The sequence below is a fragment of the Homo sapiens genome, chromosome 3 (genome assembly GCF_000001405.40).
Source record: "Homo sapiens chromosome 3, GRCh38.p14 Primary Assembly".
In the NCBI taxonomy this organism is placed as follows: domain Eukaryota; kingdom Metazoa; phylum Chordata; class Mammalia; order Primates; family Hominidae; genus Homo; species Homo sapiens.
In genome coordinates, this window is record NC_000003.12 from 133,107,256 (window position 1) to 133,130,932 (window position 23,677).

Below are 23,677 nucleotides of genomic sequence, written 5' to 3' on the forward strand. Positions count from 1 at the left end.
TTCTGAAAATCTTAAAATATGTATCTGCCTTCTTTTGCAATCCTAGGAATTGTGTTTCATTTTTAATCTTTTTCTAATTAGTGGAGATTTTTCTACTTCTAGCATTCATAGAAGATTAGAGCCCATGAAAGATAAAACAGCTTATTCCAAGAGTATGCCGAGGCAAATCTGTGGGTTACCACCAGGATGAAGTGTATGTGGTGTGTGTGTGTGTGTGTGTGTGTGTGTGTGTGTGTGTGTGTATAAAATGATTACATTTCAGCCAAACACAGACATAGCAGGGAAAAGTGTGTAGTGGAAAAATTCTGATCTTGAGCCTCTGTTCTCTAGCCTTCTAGTGGAGTCAGATTACAAAGGGGATTTAATTGCCAGCAAGATCTTGATGTTAATTCAGCTGCCAAAAAAGGGATTGCTCATGATTCACCAGGTTACCCAGGAGAAATTGGGTGACACATCCTGAGTCTCTGAGAACTTTAGGTCTTGGGAGGCCTTTACCTGATCCTGGTCACTGAACCGCTATAGCCTCTAAGCCACAACCTTTTTGGAAGACTGATCTGGGTGTAATGAATACTTTCCTTTTAAGTAGATTTCCTAAATCCAAGTTTTGAGGAGGTAGTCTAAAGTGGCTCCACATCTTTGGATTTTGCTTAAACCTTGTAAGGACTGACAGATCTCCTATAAAAATGTTGTTTATAGCTGGGCACGGTGGCTCACGCCTGTAATCCCAGCACTTTGGGAGGCCAAGATGGGTGGATCACTTGAGGTCAGGAGTTCAAGATCAGCCTGGCCAACATGGTGAAACCCATCTCTACTAAAAATACAAAAGTTAGCCAGGCATGATGGTGCGTGCCTGTAATCCCAGCTACTCAGGAGGCTGAGGCAGGAGAATCACTTGAACTCGGGAGGCGGAGGTTGCAATAAGCCAAGATCACACCGCTGTACTCCAGCCTGAGCGACAGAGTGACACTTCATCTTAAAAAAAAAAGTTGTTCGTTCCTATTTCTCCACATCCTCTCCAGCACCTGTTTTTTCCTGACTTTTTAATGATCGCCATTCTAACTGGTGTGAGATGGTATCTCATTGTGGTTTTGATTTGCATTTCTCTGATGGCCAGTGATGATGAGCATTTTTTCATGTGTTTTTTGGCTGCATAAATGTCTTCTTTTGAGAAGTGTCTGTTCATATCATTTGCCCACTTTTTGATGGGGTCGTTTGTTTTTTTCTTGTAAATTTGTTTGAGTTCACTGTAGATTCTGGATATTAGCCCTTTGTCAGATGAGTAGGTTGTGAAAATTTTCTCCCATTTTGTAGGTTGCCTGTTCACTCTGATGGTAGTTTCTTTTGCTGTGCAGAAGCTCTTTAGTTTAATTAGATCCCATTTATCAATTTTGGCTTTTGTTTCCATTGCTTTTGGTGTTCATGTCCTTTGTAGGGACATGGATGAAACTGGAAACCATCATTCTCAGCAAACTATCGCAAGGACGAAAAACCAAACACCGCATGTTCTCACTCATAGGTGGGAATTGAACAATGAGAACACATGGACACAGGAAGGGGAACATCACACTCCGGGGACTGTTGTGGGGTGAGGGTGGGGGGAGGGATAGCATTAGGAGATATACCTAATGCTAAATGACGAGTTAATGGGTGCAGCACACCAACATGGCACATGTATACATATGTAACAAACCTGCACATTGTGCACATGTACCCTACAACTTAAAATATAATAATAATAATAAAAAAGTTGTTCGTGAAGATGACCTTTCTATATCGTGGGTACACTTGGCCTTGCAGGTGACCTCAGAGACTGTCATGCCTGTTTTGCTTTGCTTGGAGTTCATTGGTAGAATGATACGGTGGAAAGAATAGTAGGTTGGAGAGTCCAGAGGTGAAAGTGCTGGTTCTCACTGTGCTCCTAACTAGCTGTGTTATTTTGGGCAAGTCACTGAATTCCCCTGGGTCACACAGCTTTCTTGCCCATAAAATGAGGAAGGGTTGCAATAGATACTTTCGAAGGTTCATTCTAATTACAATACTCTATAACTTGTGATTCCTTTTATGAACTATCTTCATCAAATTTGAGGTACTGCCAGGCATAGTGGCTCACGCCTGTAATCCCAGCACTCAGGGAGACAGAAGTGGGAGGATAGCTTGAGCTCAGGAGTTTGAGACCAGCTTGGTCAACATAGTGAGACCCCGTTCTCCACAAAAAGAAAAAAAAAATTGAGGTACTGTGTATCTCTGGGGAGAGTTCAGAGTGATAAGCTAACTCTGTTTCTAAAGAGAATAGGGCAAACGTTACAACCAGAGATATTCCTTGGAAACTTTATGCACTGTTATTAGACACAAATACCCATTCATTAGTTTTCCAAGGTTTTTGTGTAAGATGAGTGTTCCTTTGTAACTGTAAGAAATATTTAATTTCTAAGACTCATAAAGGTATGGAAAACATGAGAAAGGCTGTCATTGCATGCGTTGACAGTGAGTAAGTAAGCAAATCTGTGCCATATTGTTCAGTGTGTTTTATATTGTTTAATAGCTGCAGTTTTAGTCAATTATGATTTGTAGCATATTCTTAACGTTATGCAGGGGGTGCAGCCTCCTGCCTAATAATCAGTGTGACCTTAGTTTTGGTGCAACATTAGTATATAATACGGTACTTAGGAATTGTGATTTGTAGCTATGACAGATTTTCTTTTTAGGATTGGTAAGTACAGACAGGGCCCCCTTCTGGAACCCTTACAGGATAACTGAAATCCACCAGTTAATCAGAAATCCTCTATTTTAGCTTCCACTGTAATTGCATCTCTTCTTCACCAAGCCTGTTTTGCCTGTTTTTTTCTCTTCCCTCAGAGGATCAGTGAAAATGCAATCAGATGAACAAGCAGACAAGTAAAAAGGAGGAAAATCAAGGAGCCTATATGTTCTCTGAGAGAGCTACATAAACTTAAACTCTGTTGCTTCTGGAGTTGATTTGAGTGTGGGGGAGGGGGAGGAAGAGAAGGTCACCAGGTACAGCAGCTTGTCTTGTTTGAGCATTCAGCCACAGCTTCCAACACTGAACAGACAGAAATAAAAAGTTGGTGCTGGCTATGTGCGTCAGGTAGCTCTACATCAGTCCTGCCACTGTGGACCATGTTTACACCAGTAGGTTATTTTCTACACTCCTTTCATTCTAAGAGGATTACATCCTCCATTGCTTTCTGTCCAGGAATCCTTCAATTCCATCTGAAAGGCATGTTCGTGACATTTCTAGTTGGATCAGGAATTGACTTTGACCTGTAGTGGTCTGAGGAAGTGTCGAGTTGCTGGGTGACCTGCATCTTGTTGTCACATAGCCAGAGAGTATTGTGAATCCATTGCTGATCTGTGTTATATCACAGGGCCAGAGGGATACTGAGATTTCTTGAACTAAATCAGACATTTTCTAAACTCTGATTTGAAACAGATACAAACTCCTGAACCCACTGAAGCGAGACTGTCTCCTAAGGCTGTGGTTCTCAAAATTATGTGAGCATCAGAATCTCCTATAGGCTTTGTTAAAGTCCATTTGTTGTGTCCTCACTCCCAGAATTTCTGATTCAGTAAGTGTGCAGTAGGGGCAAATATTTTGCATTTCTACCAAGTTCCCAGGTGATGCTAATGCTGCTGGTCCAGGGACCACTTTTGACAGCCATTGTCCTAAGGGGCTTCTCAACATGGAAAGATTTGAAGTCAGGCCATAGTCCTTTTGAGGTTTCTCAATCCTTTCACTCTGTTGACCCAGCTTGTCTCTGACCTACTGCCCCTTGGGTATGGGGGCCATAGATGTGTGCTCATATCCTGTCTTTCAGTTCCATAGTGCCCAGACAACCAAGATTGTGTCTGAACTATGGTAGCCATCTAGTCTGAATTTTTGAATGTAGTGTAAAAGCCAGAGATTTAGGGCAGAATTTATGTCTCCTATTGCCTTAGGAACATTAATCTTGAAAAAACAGTCTTAGGTGGGGAGGATTCTCATTTTTATCTATGAGGAATTGAAACTCAGAGTTTAAATTATTTGCCCAGGAAGTAAATGGCAGAGTTGATATTTGAACCCAGGACTCTGGCTTCAGTGATGATTTTCCTTCACCTAAGCTTCTCTTTCTCTTGGGTTCCTTTTGAACTGAAGATTTTCTTCACCCTTTCTTCTCATCATGAGTCTCTTTAATTAGAGTGTGAATTTTGACTTTAATATAGATATATGTGTGTATATATATATCTGTATGGAGGCCCATTTTCCAACAGTTTTATCAAGTCAGTGAAGTCCTCAGATGTGTGTGTATTCATATATATTAATATATATGCACAATACATTGCTTCATTTTTAATATTTTGCGTGCATTTTATCATACTATATAATATGCATCTTTGTAAGCTGCCCTGAAGCAGTTAGAAACAGGGCAAAGAATACATGTAGACCCCCAACTGTAGTCAACACATACACAAACACATTATTTATCCACCCACAAGGTGGCTTGTTCTTCATACCTTACAGTCTAAGAAAATGTCTCTTTGGTAGCTAAAGACTTGTACTAGGTTCCAGCTATGCCCTTGACTGTCATCAGTAAATGGAGTTGAAAGTGGCTTTGCTTACCCTGCTTCCACCCAGTAACTTTCTATAAAGGAGATCAGGGCATCACTTAGTTCTGTGGGGAGAGAGGTGGCAGGTCTGTATTGACACTTTCATCTGTTGGAAAACAAGAACAAACCCTGAGGGCTTTTAAAGTGTGTTCTGCAGTGAGAGTTTATATGCTTTATCCACATTAAGAGCAAGACAGTTTTTTTTTCTTTCCTAAAGAAAACAGTTCTTTTTCCATTGCGGGGGAAACAAAAAAGAAAGAAATTCTGGCATCTCTTGCTGAAGGCTGTAATGAGGCAAGGAGCTGGATTGCAGGAGAATGGTAATAAGAAGTTAAAAATGATGGTCATGGATACCCCTCCAGGAACAAAATGACTCTGGGAAGATATAAAATTGCCTGTTTTTGTTTTTAAATTATCAAATAATATGGCAAAATGTATCAGTGACCCTTACTCCATTCCCCTATCTTCTTCCTAGTTAGATGGCTTTTTTACTTTTCCCTTCACTCATGTTTTGTGAGTACAATTTTTACTGTCAGCAAAACATAATGAAGATATTTGTTAAAAACCTGTGACAACGGTTAGCTTCCAAGGGGGTCTCAGTTATGCCAACTTCTATTATTATAAAGAAACTTTCTGATGTTTAATAACATGTATAAAGAATACTAAAAGAAATTCTGTGTCGTCTAGAACTGAGAATAAGGATCATCACATGAATCAAGCATTCTTTTATCTTCCCTCAACCCTATTCACACATGGTGATTGGTCAGACAATATTAATGTACTTAGGGGCCTATAAAAATTAGAGTTATCCAGCACCTAGATATTCCAATGGGAAGCAGAATGGGTTCTATAATTAAGCAGTCAAATGTGTTTATCAATTGAGAGTAAGTTAATTTGGCTAGTGCTGCTTTAAGGGAGAAATCAGAGAATTGAAGTTGCAGAAAGATATAGTCAGTTCTGCTATAAAGTGACGTAAGTGTTCTGAGAATCACCATGCTATGCAAAATTGTGCAACAAAACCCACAGGATTTATGGTTAAAATGGGCTTAGTGGCACACATTTAAAAACTTTGTCAATAAACATTAAAACAAAAAGAAACCTAATAAAAATGGTAACACTGTTAATATGGTTAAATGGTTAAAGAACACGTAAGAAAGACTTCAAGAAGTATGTCATTTTTCCTTGAAAAAAGAACCACTAAGTTTGCTTGTGGAAGTAGACATTGGAAAGGTTGCTGCTTGTGAGTTATTATGAAGTGGTGGAAGGAGGGTTTTCCTGAAATTGGAAGGAAGGTTGTAGACAGCAATGTGAATGGATGGGTGGCTCATAACACTCAGTGACTTAGGTATCCGATAGGTGTTAGAGGCATGTGCACCTGCTTTGGTTCAGCTGGGTGTGGTTTTCTGCAGTCACCTAGTATTTCTCATGGATGAAATAATGCATAAACCCAACATTTGCATTATACTTTAAGTGTTCCCTAATATATCAGTTGTGTTGAAACAAATTCATGTTTTCAAAATAAGCATTATAGAAGAATTGACAAGTCAATCCTCAGAGGATAAGTGGAACCCTTCACCCACCTTCTCATTTTTTAAATACTGATGGTCATCTATGAGCGATGAGCCATATGAGAATGACTCTTTTATGCATGTTTATATCATATGTCTTATAAAATGTTAAATAATATTAAGAAACATAAACATGTAAAGTCCTCCTTCCAGCCCCACAAGACAAGTAATAATTTTAGGCCAAATCAAAAATATCCCATGTATCAAAATGGCCTTGTCAAGATGACATGTCCTCACCTCAACCCACCCCTACCCTTGAGTTGAGCCAAATAGAGGCTGAGTCACCGATGACTGGATGTTATTCGTTTTCTCACTGATGATTTTCCTTGACTGAGGTGGCAACTGTTGAACTGGCTCTGTATTGTTTGACGAAGTATATATATATAATCATTGGTTCTGGGTCCCAAGGCAGTTCCCAGGGTCTTGTTTGTTGATTTTCAGGATGTGGCTGCATGTACTGGACATTTCTCAGCAGATCCTGCATACAGAATGATTGATTCTGGGGCTTTCTGGATGTTCTACTCTTTTTAGGTCCACTTTGGGAAAAAAAGGGAAGCTACTACTTTCACATGAAGTGAAAGTAGCCTGCATTTGCAGGGAAGCCATGTCTAGAAAAAGCATAATCAAAATGATGTCCTTGGAGGAAGCACCTGGCTGTTTACAACAAGTGAAATCCTTGTCTTCCAATTAGAGGGGCAGCTGGAGTCTCATGTGTGCATTCAGGTTGCAAAGAGATGAGCCACTATTAGATGAGCCACCACTAACAGAACTGCTGGGATGATGTAAAGTAATAAATTACACCACTCATGTAAGTATGATAGCATCAATGTAAGCATGTAGGAAATTTTGTTTTAATTCTAGATTTAGGTATCAACTATAAAACCCTAGAATCTATGGCAAGTAGGAAATGAGGAGAGTATATTTTATCCCACATCTCATCTTACAATGAGGTGAGGCCTGCAGAAGCAACAGTGACTAGCCAGGAGATGCTGGCGAGTCATAATGTAACTAAACAATAACATAAACGCTAGAATTCCCAACTGTTCTTTTAGTACCATAGTATTGATTTTTGTAATTCGGTGAGTTTTGACCACTTACTTAAGATTCCAGGCAGCCCTCCTGTTGTTGTTGCTGCTCTCCTTTATGCCAGCATTTGTCACACTTGCTTGATTTGATTCCCTGCCTCCTGCCTTTATTTTATTTTATTTTTTAAAGCTGAAAAAAATGAGGGTTGCTTGTATTCAGGCCACGGTTACCACCAGTTGGCTTTATTTCTTTGGTCAATATCCTCTCTTCCATGGATAGAAATATGAATAAGAATAATCCTTGTACAAAGAAAACAAAAGTGCTAGCCTACTTTGTATGGAGGCCCATTTTCCAACAGTTTTGTTTTATCTAGTCAGTGAATTCCTCAGATGTATTACTCGAGATGCAAGGAATACATTGGGAAAAACACCCCAGAAAAGTAGTAGCTTCCCTTTTTTTCCCAAAGTGGACCTAAAAAGAGTAGAACATCCAGAAAGCCCCAGAATCAATCATTCTGTATGCTGGATCTGCTGAGAAATGTCCAGTACATGCAGCCACATCCTGAAATCAACAAACAAGACCCTGAGAACTGCCTTGGGACCCAGAACAAATGATAGTCTTGATAATTAAAATCTTGAATATTTATCTTTCAAGATTTTTCTTAAGCCAAATTGGGAAAAAATGGATTATGAAAAGTGCTTAGAATTAAATCCAATATTTAAGATATATTAAGTGTTCATATGCTGTTGTATAATCTTTAACTTTTCAAAATGAATTCTAAAAACCACACAACTGGAGGACATTCATGAAAGACTGTTTACAGTGTCATTTAGCACAATTCCCACACACCAAGGATAAGCTGACTAATAATAATATTAATAGCAGCAGCTAAAACTCACTGAGCACTTACTAGATGCCTGGCATCATTCTTCATGGATTACGTGGAACTATTTAATCCTTAACCCCAAGAGGAAAATGCCATCATTATTTACCCCATTTGAGGGGAGGAAACTGAGGTTCAAAGAGGTGACTCCTTTCATAAAGCCAGTCAGCTAACAAGTTGAGAAGCTGGAATGCAAAACCAGGTTATCTACTTCCAAGCTTACACTGCTAATAGAAATAAAGGGAGGAACCAGTAGCACTTGAGTTAGCCATGCCTCTCTCACTGATCAGGCAAGAAAGGCCATGCCTCTAGGCAGTTTTGTTATGCATTAAAGAGAAATAAAAATAATACATGTTTTTTCTTTCTTACAGATTTGTTGTGATAATCTTAGAAGATAGGGGGAGGAAGTGGTGTTTAATGAATATCTGCTATATGCAGGCACTATATCAGGTATTTCACATAACATCATTAGCTGTTGCTGTCCCTGTTATTGCACAGGTCTCAAATTCACTTTTGACTGTAGAGTCACTGCCATTTTCAAAGGATAGAATCATTGCCATCTGTTCTCATGTGTGAGTTTTTCTTGTTGCCTGTCTTATTCAACTGATTTCAGTGGGGGTGGGGAGTTATTTTTAAAGCAATACATGTTATTAGTAGAAAACTTGAGCAAAGGATTTGAACAGGCAGTTTACATAGCAGGAAACTTCACAGGCCATCAAGTATTGGAAAAGATACTCCAAGTCTTTAGTAATGAGAGAAATGTAAATGGATGGTCTGCCTCTATGGGCTTCATCTTCAACATCATCTCATCTCTTCTTAAAATGAGTTATCCATTTGTAAATTGCTCATTTCTCTGGGGCATTGTCTTCGTAAACATTTTGTGATGCATCAGTAATTTCAGCATTCTTCCACCCAAGAATCACAGTAAATTTGATGTTTGCCCTTCAATTTTAGCAGAATTCTTGTTGCTTGGATAGGGGCACTTTGCAAACTGATGTCTTATACTTCTTAGTGCCTTAAACTAGATCCTGTTTAGATATGTTATAACAACTTAGTATGAGTTTATTTTGGTGCAAAAAAAATTTGAAATCCATGTATAGTTTTTTCTTAATATTCATTTTTCATGAACTTTTTGAAGACTTCTTGTATTTTATTTACATAAATAAATGAATAAAATGGGGGAGGCATATTACATATGCTTTTTTTGTACCCTGGCTATGAAGATGGACTAAGTTATCTCTAAGATGCCTTCCAACTCGAAGACACTCTCCCCTCAAGGCAAATATCAGATCATCAAATCCAGTCAAGTTATAAATTGACTTGGGTTCAGCATAATCCAAAACTTATTTTGCCAAGCGCTCTTGTTGTCAACTGTATGAGATACCAGTGTACCAGTGCATTCAAAGGAAAATATATCTGTATTTTGATTTATCTGCATTTATTTATTTATTTTTTGAGACAGAGTCTAGCTCTTGTCACCCAGGCTGGAGCGCAATGGCGTGATCTCTGCTCACTGCAACCTCCTGGGTTCAAGCGATTCTCCTGCCCCAGCCTCCTGAGTAGCTGAGACTACGGGCGTGCACTACCACACCTGGCTAATTTTTGTATTTTTAGTAGAGATGGGGTTTCACCATGTTGGCCAGGCTAGTCTCCAACTCCCAACCTCAGGTGATCCACCCACCTCGGCCTTCCAAAGTGCTGGGATTACAGGTATGAGCTGCCGCACCCGGCCTGATTTACCTGCATTTAATTCAAACAGTACACATTTTGACTTGGTATGCTGAAATCGTTTTAGTGTATTCAGACCATTTCATAGGCTGATAGTTTACTCTAAAAATAGAATATACAGCATCAAACAAATATTAGTCCTCAATGGAACAAGTGAGGTTGAAACTTGATCTAATGTACCAGGAAACCATCCCATCTGAGTGATCTAGTGGCTTTTCATAGGCTAGAGCTGAACAGTTTCTGATGACTGCTCAAAAGCAAGTCAATCAGCGAGTAATAGAGTTCAGAATCTTTATTCTCTGTTTTGTATCTGGACTGTGAACAACCCTTAATAAAGAGTACATTCCTTTCTGCCAGAACTGCCCAATGGAAGACAACAAGTCTATCTAGGCTTCTTATAAAAGCCAACAGAAACCTCCCAAGGGAGACTCAAACCTCAGATCATTGCATTAGGAGCTGAAAATTAGAGTGCCATTGACTGTTGTTGCCATGGTAATCACTGCTGACCTGGCAGGTTCTTCCTCATGATAGCCTTCTCAACAGGTTCACTTCTGCTAAGGTGTGAGGTGTGTGTCTCTGTTTGTTTGCTTGTGGCAAAGTTGTCATGTTTTACTCTAAATACAAAGTAAGAAGACAGGAGCCACCAATGTCTTGCACACAATAAATGTTAAATGAAGATTTTTGGGGTTTGATTGGGTGCACCGGGTTTGGAAAAAAAATCAGAGGTGTCAGTCACTATGCTCAAAATGTCTGTGAAGCCCCCATTGCTGGCTGCTGTTTCTCTTGAACAGTTCCCGTTGCTTTTTGGAGTAATCAGCACCTGGGTAAGATTTGCAACTCTCCAATCCACAAAATTCTGTAGGTGTCCAGAGAGGCGGGAAGCTGTTTTAAAACTGTCCTTCTTTAGAATCTATTATGAGGCCTTTTTGGGGGAGGAATAGCATGGCTTCTGAGTACTCATTCTATTAGGTTGTCTGGTTTTGGGGAGTTGGTAGAGTACTAACTCTAGGTTCTCTGATTTCTAGGAGTTGGTAGAGTACTACCTCTAGGTTCTCTGATTTCTAGGAGTTGGTAAAGTACTTACGCTAGGTTCTCTGACTTCTGGGGACTGGCAGAGTACTTACTGTAGGTTGTCTGGTTTCTGGGGCCCTCCTTTGGGATTTTTATGCCCATCCAGGTGTGGAAACTACTCAATGGTAATAGTCTTAAAATCATCTTAAGATTTTCCAGTCCTGAGATTTCCCCAAACCTAAACTGATATTAATAGTCTTATCAGATTTTTGCCATGTGTTCATTGAAAAAATAATCTCCTTCATGTTAATGCAATATTTATGGAATTATTCTTTCCAAGAAGAAGGGAAAGATAACATCCAAAGTTTTGGAGGTAGTTTAAGCATTTGTCTTAAGTTTTGTGTTTGCAAAATACTCTTCAGTTGCCTCTCATTTATCCTTACAAGCCTAGCCACACCTGCCCCCAGTGAACATCTCATATTTACTGAGAAATAAAAATTTAGTACAGGTGATTTGCCTTGGGTATTGTTACCAGATTGTGTTTTTGCCCAGTGGAGAAGCAGATGCATTTAAAACTGCACTTGACACCTGAAAAATCACTGTCCCAGAAGCTACTAAGTCCTTTGTGAAATTACAATGAGGCGGCGGGCTGAACCACTGGTGGTTCTCCTACCCAGGGCTCGGCTTCCCACAGACATAAGTGAATCAGATGCCAGGGTGTTTCAGTTTACCGTAGGGGGTGTGTAAAAAGACGTAAGATTATTTACTTAGGCAGTGTAGTGTGGGGACATCACCACAGACCAATAGTAAGAAGGTTGGCCCTGATGCTGGGCTTTTTCTAATAGCATAGACTTGATCACATCATTAACCTCTCTTACCTGTAAAATGAAGACACCTGCCTTTCCTATGCCACAGGTGGTTGTATCAAATGAGGTAATGTTTGTTAACATTTTTTTTGCAGCCTCCGAAGTACTTTGGAAACGTACTAGCACCATTCTCCGAGGCCCGATGATCGTACAGTGGCTGGAAACGGCATTTTCGCATGTGCTTTTCCTGAGTCTAGGTTGTCAGGTGGATCCTTCTTAGGCTCCTCAGTTTGAACAAGCTGTCAGAGTGTATCAAAGAATACCAGATAGGAGGAGAAGAAAAAGTAACAGCTGAAAAAAAAAAAGAGGGAAAAAAGAGTAGGCACTCCCCTCCACCCACTCTCCGGTTCCATTCAGCACACTGACTTCATTCAGCAGTTTTTTTCCTGCTTTGTATGCAAAGACAGAGCCTCTCATGAGAACTTGGATGGTGGAGTATAAACACTCATTTAAAAATAAATCCAGATGTAGTTGGCTGCAGTCATCTGACAGAACCCTGATTCTCTCTTCAATAATGACGTTCATTTGTACCTCATTAATTGAGAGTTTTTAATAATTTCTCCAGGGTAAGTCTGAAGTTTACTTTGTTTTATCTATGAAGAAAGGACCCACAGAGCAAATGAATAGTGTAAATAAGTTTGCTAGGAAACATTTAGCCTGCTTGAGAGGAAGGGCCATTTTCAAATGCCTTACTTGCATCTATTTGCATCCTAACTATCTACTGATTATGAGTGATTCTAGTCATTAAAGTAGTCCTAGGAGGATTTCTTCTTGGCGATGTTTTATTAGCATTTAATTTGAACTCTAATAAAACTCCATTTTTAAAAACTTGCCCATAATTCAATATTGTCACACATCTTCCTTCCATCAGTATAAATTTGTTGTAAGGCATTATTGTAATTAATTACGTGCCCCCAAATCTCTTGCATATCATCTGGTACAATTACATCCTTTTGAAAAAGATTTTCTATTTTCCTTTAGTTTCTTAAGATTGAAGTGTCCTGACATAAATAGCATCACTAAGGCTTGGACTTAGAGAAGACCTGCCTGTAAGAAACCAACTAGGGAGGAATGTAATTAGTTATTTCCACTATGACTAGATTCCAGCCCAAGATAGAGACCAACTTCTTCTTCTAAAAACTTTAGATTTCTGTAATTGCATAAACTAGACTTTATTCATAAAACAACTTCTGTACCATGCTTGAGATACAGTGAATACTAAGTATTTAATGAATTAAGGCATGAGTGCACATCTTTTGGGTTTTCGTTTGTCTTTTGTGTAGACACCTTTTAATATCAAGCAGTCTGTATTATAATAGGAACTCTGCAAGAAGATTGTATTGAAAGCAGTGTGTTCAACCCATCTATTCACTCATTTTTCAAATATTTTGAGGGACAACTACTATGGATCAGCCAGACCTAGAGGTCAGAGGAAGTGTGTGTGCCTCTGTACATTTCACATTTAGCGTTCAAGCCCCTTAACCTTTAAAAGTGAGATTGATACACTCTACAGTCTTTGCCTCTTACTGTACTTTGAGTTGCTGTGTGCCTGGTTCAAATCCTTTCCCAGCCATCCTCCTATGGTTATTGCTTTATGCCTAACTAGACCACTATTACAACAAAGCAGATGCTCTGGGCATAGCTCATCTCTCTTTATGTTTGTGTCTAATTTTTCACTTTGTTATACTTCTGTCACATTTTGAATATCTGCGGTACTATGGATCTACACTTCTAAGTAAATAAAGTACCTTTGTACCAAAGGTAACAGCTAATATTTTTGTTATTTATCTATGCTAGGCACTCTTAGAAGAGCTAACATATGCTCTTAGAAGAGTGCCTAGCATAGATAGCACAGATAGAGCAAATGATAAAAAGCATGGATGCATGCATCTAAGAGCATCTGTGAAATGAGTGTTTTTATTATTCCCATTTTACAGGTAAGAAAACTGAGTCACACAAGGATATATTTGTGTAACACAATTTCAAAAAGGCAAACTCTTGCTCTTGTTAACGGTAAGGCCTTTTTGGCATCCCATATTTGTGAACTGTATCGATATGTTATCTCATTTGATCTGATACATCCCTTCCCATTTGCTCACATAGAAGAAGTGAAACAGATGAAGGTGAGTCTCTGCTTTCAGCAGCTCTGCAGGTTAAGGACTGTACAGCACTTGAACCCAGGACTTCTGAATCCTGATCTTGGACTCTTCCCTCAGAAACAAGCTGCCTTTCTTTTGCTGGTCTGGCCAGTAGATCTGTACTAAAGATGGGGGCCTCTCAATCTGAATGGGAGATTTGGAATCATGGGGACCTGAAGCAGTTAATGGAGGAGTGTTATAATAGAACATGTTTCATAGCCAGTCCATTTAGTCTAGGATCTAGAGTATTCCAAATAAACACCAACTCCTAATTTGTTTTTTGCTCCTGTGTTGAATCAATATCTAGAATATGCTCTTGACAGCTCTGGAGCAAAAAGCCAAGTCTCTGACAAAAGAATCAGTACTAATTGGGAAATAAATCAGAGTTTGCTATAGCTAAAAGGGAAAAACTCCCACACATTTATCTGTCATTTTGATTCGTTCTTTCATCCTATGTAGTACATTTTCAGGGTCTCAAAGAAGCTCATCTGTCTATGAAGGTGCTCATGGAAGCATCTTGTTTTACATATGATGAAAATGGAGAGAGCACTTCTTTTGACAGGAAACTTCACTTCTTGTTACTGAAAACCGTCACAACAGTCATTATGTCTGGCTTTCAGAGATTTCCTGGAGTTAGGAGAACAATAGACAGTTAAAATGGCAATGTCAAGAGCATTCTGGGGTTTTATAATGAGTACCAAGGGAAATTTTTTCTCTCGAGTTTGTAAGAAAAAAGTAGGAGGACTATTTGGGAAGCTGGGGATATGTGGAAATGAAAGGCAATGCTCTATTTTTTTAACGGAGTGTTCCTTCTAACCTTTGTAAGCTGAAAAAAATATTATACCATGGTTTCCATGTTCTTGTTATTGAGTTGCCAGTGAAGAAGAGAAGTTTCTCTTCAGTTGTCCCTCTCTGTAGGTTAAATCAGCCCCTGAAAAGACACATTTGCAGCTTTCTGTATTTTTCTTTGATTAAACATCAGTTAGAATTCTTGGATCCAGTTTTTTAATTCTTGTTGTATATGTACGGTGCTTCTGGGGCTTATGATTTCTAATTTAGCAGCAGGAGTTACTTCTCTTTTCCCTCTACCTCCAAAAAAAAAAGATGACTCAAGCATTAGGAATATGTTTTTGGGCTTATTGTATAATTCAATGTGTATTTGGATTTGCACAATTTTTAATCTTGATTTATGTAGCCCTAATGTGATTTCTAATTTTTAATAAAGTTTTTGAGGTACTAATGTCTAACACATTTAAAGTATAAACTTCATAAACAATTTATGTGACCTGCTGTTTTCATTTCTGTAGTTTCTTGCTTGCTGCTAGAGCTGTGGATGGTTTTAAAGACCCCTGTGTTAGTTACGCAGGGATACCTGAATGGTAAAAATAACCTGCTATCTTTATATTTTTTTGAAAATCTAACAATACAAAGGCAATTATGAATTATTAACATGTTTTTAAAATATGAGTAGAATATTCCTTGTTTTAAAAATTGGTCAACATTGGCCAGGCACGGTGGCTCACGCCTGTAATCCCAGCACTTTGGGAGGCTGAGGTGGACGGATCGAGGTCAGGAGATCAAGACCGTCCTGGCTAACACAGTGAAACCCCGTCTCTACTAAAAATACAAAAAATTAGCTCGGTGTGGTTGCAGGTGCCTGTAGTCCCAGCTACTCGGGAGGCTGAGGCAGGAGAATGGCCTGAACCTGGGAGGCAGAGCTTGCGGTGAGCTGAGATCACGCCACTGTACTCCAGCCTGGGCAACAGAGCGAGACTCCATCTCAAAAAAAAAAAAAAAAAAATTGGTCAACATTTTAAGATGCTATAAGGTGGAAATAAAAGTTTTCCTTCCTATTGTCTCAATCCTAAATATCATTCCTTAAAGGTAACCACTGTTAAGTCTCTGCAAATTCTACCAGAAATGACCTAATGTTCTATTTGTATACAAGCACACATACACGTATACATAAATACCTATATACATGTAACACACATCTATGCTTACATGTGTATGTACGGATACATATATGGATTCCATTGTGGATATGTTAGCATATACCTTAGACATCTGTTCACATCAGTATGTATAAATCCATTTCATTTTTAATGGCTATATTGTATTCCATTGCATTGGTTTGCCATAATTTAGCTTACCTTCTGTTTATCAACATTTACGTTTTTCCAGTTTTATCTTGTTGCAAACAATACTGCAATAAATATTTTTGTATATATCTTTTTGCATTTTTGTAAGTATATTTGTAGGATACATTCAAGGCAAGGGAATTACTGGTAAAAGAGGGTGTCCGTTTTTAGCATCACTAAATATTGGCAAATTGTCCTCCAAAATGGCTGCCCTAATTTATACTTCCATCAACAGTGTAGAAGAATGTCGTGTTTCTCCACACCCTTGTCAACACTAAATATGACAAAAATTTCAGTTTGTAAATACAATAAGTGAAAATAGTATCTTATTTTGACATTCTGTTGCTGCTGTATTTGAGGTTCATTTAAGCAAATGCTTACTGAGCACTCACTGTGTGTCATCACTGAAATAGGAAATGGCAATAAAAAAATGTCCTTGTTCTTGAGGAGCCATGGAAGTGAATAAGAAGCCTCTTTTTAGAAGAAATTCAAAGGTTGCAAAACTAGAAAAGTGGGTCTTTTGCACCCTACCAGCAGGAAATGTTGTCTATAAAAGATAGTGTCCACCCATGTCAACTTTCAGTTCTGTTGTCGGCCTAAATTGGCAACTCTCTGCTTCTGCAATAGTGGCCTTGCTTTCATTTTGGAAGAAAGTTGGCTGCAGGTAGGAGTAGAAATGCCTATCTAGTAGCTTTGGTTTTTCTCCAGGACCTGACTTGATTATCTCACTGGTTGCTTTTAGGAGAAAGCACCCACTGTTGGCTTCTGTTCTGAAAGGGCACCAGGCAAGCATGGAATCCTATCAGCAGAGCAAGCCAAGAGCTCAATAAACTGTTTATTCATTGTTCAAGCTTCTCCACCTATATGGATTATTAGAAGAAGTATTTCATCTTAGGGTACCCAGATTAGATTATAGATACTTCAAGTATTCTTTAGAATTCACTGAGGGGAAAAAAATATGGAAAGCAGCATCAGTCATTTGGGACCGTGTTGTTTCCTGATACCAAAATAACCGAAATGAAGAAACTACAATCTGTAAGTTAAAACAGCTGGTTTCCAGCCTGTTAAATAAAAACCAAAAGGTGTGACGTACATGGCAAAATGGGATAAACCTGGTTTTCTGAGTGGAGGCAGCTATTGATAATTTTACTTTTCTTATAGCTGAAGATGAAGGAGATTTGAGGTTCTCTGAGAATTAAAATTCGGCTGGAGTTAGCCTAGGGTGAGACCCTCAGAGCTGTCTGTTCATGCCATTGCCTCAAGCCTGTGGACGTTTTTTCACCCTGGGGCAAGAAGAGGCTCCAGTTTGCCCAACTGCTGTGTGTGTTCCAGGCCAGTGTCCAGTGAGGCTGACTTGGCAGCTGCCCTTTCCACAGCCAGCCAGCCAGCCCCTGAGTGTGTTTTAAAAGATAAGCGACAAAAAGCCAACCCCTTTTAGAGGGGCTGGAACAGGCTAGTAGTTGCTAGGCAAGTTAAAGTAATTCAGCGTCCTTGCCAAACGTCTGCCAGGCAAATAGGGAACTTTCAGAGAAGGGGAGTGAGATGGTGGTGTGTGTTGGTTGCCATAGGAATGTTTCCCTGATTGGAACAAGACCACAGAGTGGGGAGAGCAAGACGGCAGCATCTACGGTTCTTTCTGCTCAGGAATGGGAACCCAGAGTGGGCAGTAGAGCGGAGGCAAGCCATGCAGAGGCAGGAGCAGATGAGACCCTAGATGCCACGAGAAGCTAAACATGTGGGGAAAATAAAGAGCAGATTAACTCAGGAAAATTATATGGGGAGCTCTTATGCTACTCTGAAGATCTGAGACTCGTTGGAGAATTTACAATCCCAAATTAACTCAGGGAGAATTCCAACTAGACTCTGAAATGAATTAGATGGAGATTTAAAATAGGGCAATTTAGTGGGAAGAGATACTTAATTTGAAGGTAGGTATTTTGTATTTATGTAAATATTATGTCAGATTATGTCTTTATTTTAGCTCTTAAGGTAGTAATTAAATATCTGTTCATGAATTATAGTTTTTATCGAGTTCTGATTTATAGGGGGAAAAGGCACAGTTGACCAAATTGTATGAAACCTTGGACCTTGAAGAGACCCTCTGATGTGGGCTTTACTGCCGCATTAACAAGCACCCTGTGCATCTGGTGGCAGCTTCCAGAATGACAGCTGAGGGTCTGAGTGGAAATAAGTGGCTTTTAGCAAATGTTGAACCTCGAATGTGCTATTTAACCTCCCTGATTAATTGATTATCCAGCTCCGAAAATAAGAGGTGATATAGCTATCCCCTTATCTCAGCATGGATGCTGTTCTCATTTGAATACAATTTGGGGGGTAGGTGGGGGTAGTATCAGATCCTAGGGTACATGCTATGATAATGACAGGCTTAATTATCAGTCAGTCAATATTGTTTAGAACAAATGTTTTCTTTTAGATCACAATCTTAAGGAAACCTTTCTTTAACGGATAAAGTTTTACTTGTGCATATGAAGTGTATATATAAATTTATCATTTGCCATATATTTGATTCATGTTCAGAGGGTATTTAAAATAGTATCTTCTTCAGAATGTATATGTTGGGATTATATATTGCTGTTTCCTTCTTATGTGGTTTCTTTTTGTGGTCATGTAAAAGAAGACTAAAGGGATGTGATATTTAGTCTCAAATATTTGAATTATAGTCACTGTTTTATTTCAGGGCTGTTTCCTTCTATCAGTTCCTTTGATCTGGAACACCAATGTCATTTTTACTTTACAGTTGACCGTATGCTGGCTGACTGACATCAATTAACTAATCTGAGGCAAATTTGTAAGCCAAATGCCAAATTGTAATTTACTGGGAGAGTATAATCTAATAAGAAAGACTATCCTTGGGCTTTTCACATGGTGAACCCTAGTGTGATTTTGACAAAGAAGCCCAAGTATATACTACTATAATCTTTTTTTTAAAAAAGTGATGTTCTGACCAGGTGCGGTGGCTCACGCCTGTAATCCCAGCACTTTGGGAGGCTAAAGTGGGTGGACCATGAGGTCAGGAGTTCGAGACCAGCCTGACCAATATGGTTAAACCCCATCTCTACTAAAAAAATACAAAAATTAGCCAGGCATGGTGGCGAGCACCTGTAGTACCAGCTACTCGGGAGGCTGAGGCAGGAGAATCATTTGAACTTGGGAGGCAGAGGTTGCAGTAAGCCGAGATAGCGCCACTGCACTCCAGCCTGGGCAACAGAGTGAGACTTTGTCCCCGCCCCCCCCAGAAAAAAAAAAAAAGAAAGTGGTGGTCTTATCTAGACCCTCCAGAGTCTAGACTAGCATTGTCCAATAAAAATGTAATATAAACCTCAAGTATGAGCTTTATATATAATTTTAAATTTTCTAGTGGCCACATTAAAAAATAAAAGGAAACATGAAATTAATTTTAACAGTATATTTTATGTTGCTTAATATATTCAAGATATTATTTCAACATGTACAGTTGTCCCTTGGTATCCATGGAGGATTGGTTCCAGGACTCCCCACAGATACCAAAATCTGTGGATGCCCAAGTCCCTTATATAAAATGAAGTATTTGTATATAACCTGTACACATCCTCCCATATATTTTAAATCATCTTTAGATTACTTAAAATACCTAATACAATGTAAATGCTATGTAAATAATTGTTGTGTTGTATTATCTGTATTATTTTTTGTTGTATTTATTTAAAAATATTTTTACTGGGCAGTTGCATATGTAGAACCCATGGATATGGAGGGCTGACTGTAATTAATATAACTATTAATGAGATATTTTGCATTTTTAAAATACGAAGTCTTGAAAGTCCTATTGAGATGTGCTGTAAGCATATTTTTACACTTACAGCACATCTCAATTGGGACACTGAAGTTTCATGGACAATACTTGATCTGTACTTAGATTAAAACTTACAGTAGAAAAAGTAGATTCACATATCCAAGTCATTCCAAACATGCATATCAGTTGTCCAGTAACTGAATCAGTGTCCATTTCTAAATTTAAATTTAACTTTAATAAAATTAAATAAAATTTAAAATAAAATTTGGTTTCTTATTCACATTAGCCACGTTTTAAGCACTCAGTAACCCCCTGTGGAGTGGCTGCCATGTTGGACAGCACAGAAAGGACTGCTTTCTCTAGCCTTTTCCTTCACTTCCACATGTCTCAGATTGGAAGACCTGTGTGAGAACTCGGATGGGAAGAGAATCTCATTTCGTAAGTGTGGAACCACAGACAAAGAGTTGATGTTCTTAAAAGGAAGTTTCCATTCAGGCTATATTAGAACCTGCCTGGCAAGGAGTTATCTGTCTGGTAAACCACACTATCTCCACCCTTGTTCCTAGATACACCCCTCATTGTCTCCCCAATAGATAAAATCATGCCAACCTTGACAGTCTGCCTCCCTCAGGCTCCTCTTGTCTTCCACTCCAGGCTGGCTCATTTCCATTATGTCAGTGTATTTCCTGGTTATAGGCCCCCTTTATCTTTCTCATTGTTTCAATTTCCACATTTGGCCTTAATTTCTATGATACCTTAGTGTAGCATTCAAATGTTTAAATTCCAGTTTAGTTCTTAATTAAGATCATGTATATCAAGGTCAATGTTGTTGATTTATGTTAATTTGAATAAGAAACATTTCCTTTGCCCCTTGCTCCAGATTTCTAGAGTGGCTGGGCCGAGAAACTTTACTTCCTGTTCACCTAGGTAGGTATCTTGCTTTGGGCAAATCAGGATTCTTGAATATAATCACTCTGTGGTGAATCAGACCTGTGAAACTTAAAGAACTTATCTGTTCCCTAAAGAGGAAGAATTAAGAAATATCAGGTGGATGGATAAAGACTTAGCCTTGCCAGAAGTTTTGCCCCACACCTTGCTTGGGTCTGAAACTTGGTTGGTACATAGTATAACAGTAACTCTATCACTCATAGGTTAAAGAGCACAGAAGTCTGTCATTTTCTCTTGGGTACCTGGCACTTGCAAGGGACATCACTGATAAAATTCATCCACTCTGTTTTGAATATATCAAGTGAAAAGCACTTACATTGCTTTTTCAGGTCTGGAGAATGATGACCTTAGAATGGGCCCTTGTTCAAGACAATTCCAAGTCCTCCCTTAGCAAGAAAGTTAGCTTGGAAATTAGGAAATAAATATTTGACCTGTCGAATCATTTTAAATTAACCTGAATAGAAATGCATATTGTGTTCCTTCCTCATTACCATCAGAATCAAATCATTTTAGAGACAGCTAAGGCTTCGTGGAAAGAGGATCTTTATTGCCTGTAAAATAAAGAGGATCTTTATTGCCTTTATTGGGACTGGATGCCAGTCCCAAGTCTCTTGGCTGCAAGGACTGTGACATCAAGAAAGCCATTGAATTGTTCTTGGCCTCACTTCTCACCTGTCAAGTGAGAACATTAGACTAGATGATCTTAAGGCCTTTTGGTCATCACATAGTTTGATCATCTACTCTAATCCCATGGTTTCTTGGGTGAAGAAACAAAGGCCTGCAAAGTTACTTCCTAAGATCCCACAGCAAGTGTGAGGCTGGTCTCTGGTTCTCCGTCATGCTCTGTCTACTTCAGGAAACTTCATTGTTCACTTAGAGGTTAAGCTTGAACCAAGTAAAAATACCCAGATGGATAGCTGATTGTCTGTTCTTCCCATAATGTCATTTTGTCTGCTCATATATTGAGGTTGTTGGCCAAACACCTAAAATCCATAGGTTACCTGTTAATTTTTTGCCTCCTTAATATAGCCGGCCAGTAATTCAGGTCAGATACCTCTCTGGCATAAAGTCCCCAATGACCTCCTATTTAAAACAAAACAGGCTGGGCACAGTGGCTCACGCCTGTAATTCCAGCACTTTGGGAGGCTGAGATGGGTGGGTCACTTGAGGCCAGGAGTTCAAGAACAGCCTGGCCAACATGGTGAAACCCTGTCTACCAAAAATACAAAAATTAATTGGGTGTGCTGTTGTGCACCTGTAATCCCGGCTATTCAGGAGGCTGAGGCACAAGAATCGCTTCAATCTGGGAGACAGGGGCTGCAGTGAGCATCGAGATCGTACCACTGCACTCCAGCCTGGGTGACACAGCAAGACTCCGCACCCACACCCCCCCCCCCAAAAAAAAATAAACGAAACACTAAATTAGTTCTTTGCTGGTGAAAATGCATGGTAACAAAAGAAAAAGCAGTAGCTGGGATGCAGAGTTAAATTTGCTCAAATATTTTCCATTAAAACAATAACTACCATAAACCCAGAGTAGCTGCTCTGGTTGGAGGCCAACTTTCAAGTGTTGGAGCATCACTCACGGACAGGAAGCAGAGCCTGACTTTCCTGGGAAGGCTTCTTTTAGCTGGGGCAAACCTAGGGACTTTCATTCTCCTTTAGCCTTTCATTCAATGAAAAAGGCCAAGAATGCCAAGGAAAGGAAACTTGTTGATTGTCTATTATATACCAGGCATGCTAAGTATTTTATATATAGTGGCTCATTTAATTCTGTAACCACCCTGTGAATAGATAGGTATTATTTCCATATTACAGATCAATAAAAGTTGTGTAGCTTGTCTAGGGCTACACAATAAGTGATCAGGGATTTTACTTAGCTCTAAAATCTGATTACTTTCTAAATGTATTATTTGCAAAAAAAGTCCTTTAATATTTTTGCTTTTAGTCTTCAAAAGATCGCTGATGCAGGTTAACAGCCTCTGCTTGTTAACCTGCATCAGCGATCTTTTGAAGACTAAAAGCAAAAATATTAAAGGACTTTTTTGCAAATAATACATTTACATACATATCCACTAATCGGCATTGTTGGTGAGTGGCAAAAGGTGTGTGAATCTTAAGTCAAATTTAACTTTCAGAAGTGGTGCTTGCACTTTTTGGGTAAAATACAGTGCTATCATTTTGGTTTTTAAGAAATCCTGTTGTTTGGGCTTGTGGTTCTGTCTTTTATCCTTTGGGTAGATGAAGGGATGACATTTGCATTCAGTGTCCCTCCTGTTCCAGTTAATTGGTGCTGCATAACAAACCACTCCAAAACTTAATGTCAGCAACAACCATGTGTATTTGACTCATGAATCTGCAATCTGGCCAGGGCTCAGCAGGGACAACTCATCTCTGCTCGCCTCAGCATCAGCTGGGTTGGCCTAGAGGCTGTGGGTTAGAATCATCTGAAGCTAGCCCACTTACATGTCTGGAGCCTAGCTGGGAAGACAGACAGCTGGGCTCCTCAGGCATCTCTGTTTGTGGTCTCTCCAGCATGATAGCTTCAGGGTAGACAGACTTCTGTACCAGTTCACTGCTCAGCACATGACCCAAGAGAAAAAAAAGCAGGAACCTTTCATGATCTACCTTAGGAAATCAGACAGCATCACTCCACTATGTTCTATTAAACTGAAGCAGTTACAAAGGCCACTTAGGTTCCATGGGAGTAGAAATAGATTCCATCTCTTGATAGGGAAGTGAAAAGTTTCTCACAATCTTGCAGTGGCCACTATTGGAAGATATAGACTGCTACACAGATAAACGAGATTGCAGGTAATGTGCTGGTGCCCAAACCAGATGCATCTCTGGGCCTTTCTCTTCAGACCAAGGGAGCATATTGGCATTAAAATGGAATATAATCTATCCATTATAATTTAACTGACATAACTTATACTTTTCAAGAAAATTATCTGAAAATTTATGACACTC

General features: G+C 39.2%; 1 protein-coding gene across 3 annotated transcripts in view; it reads left to right on the forward strand.

The window, feature by feature from the left end:
- TMEM108 (transmembrane protein 108) overlaps positions 1–23,677 on the forward strand; it is a 359,385-nt gene that overhangs the window by 68,865 nt on the left and 266,843 nt on the right. The window contains exon 1 of one of the 3 annotated variants that reach the window (NM_001282865.2): positions 17,599–17,894. The exons of the other annotated variants lie outside the window; for them this stretch is intronic. The gene's annotated coding sequence lies outside the window, so the exon portion shown is untranslated. Of the gene's footprint in view, positions 1–17,598; positions 17,895–23,677 lie in introns of those variants that run through there. 3 annotated transcript variants of the gene reach the window in all.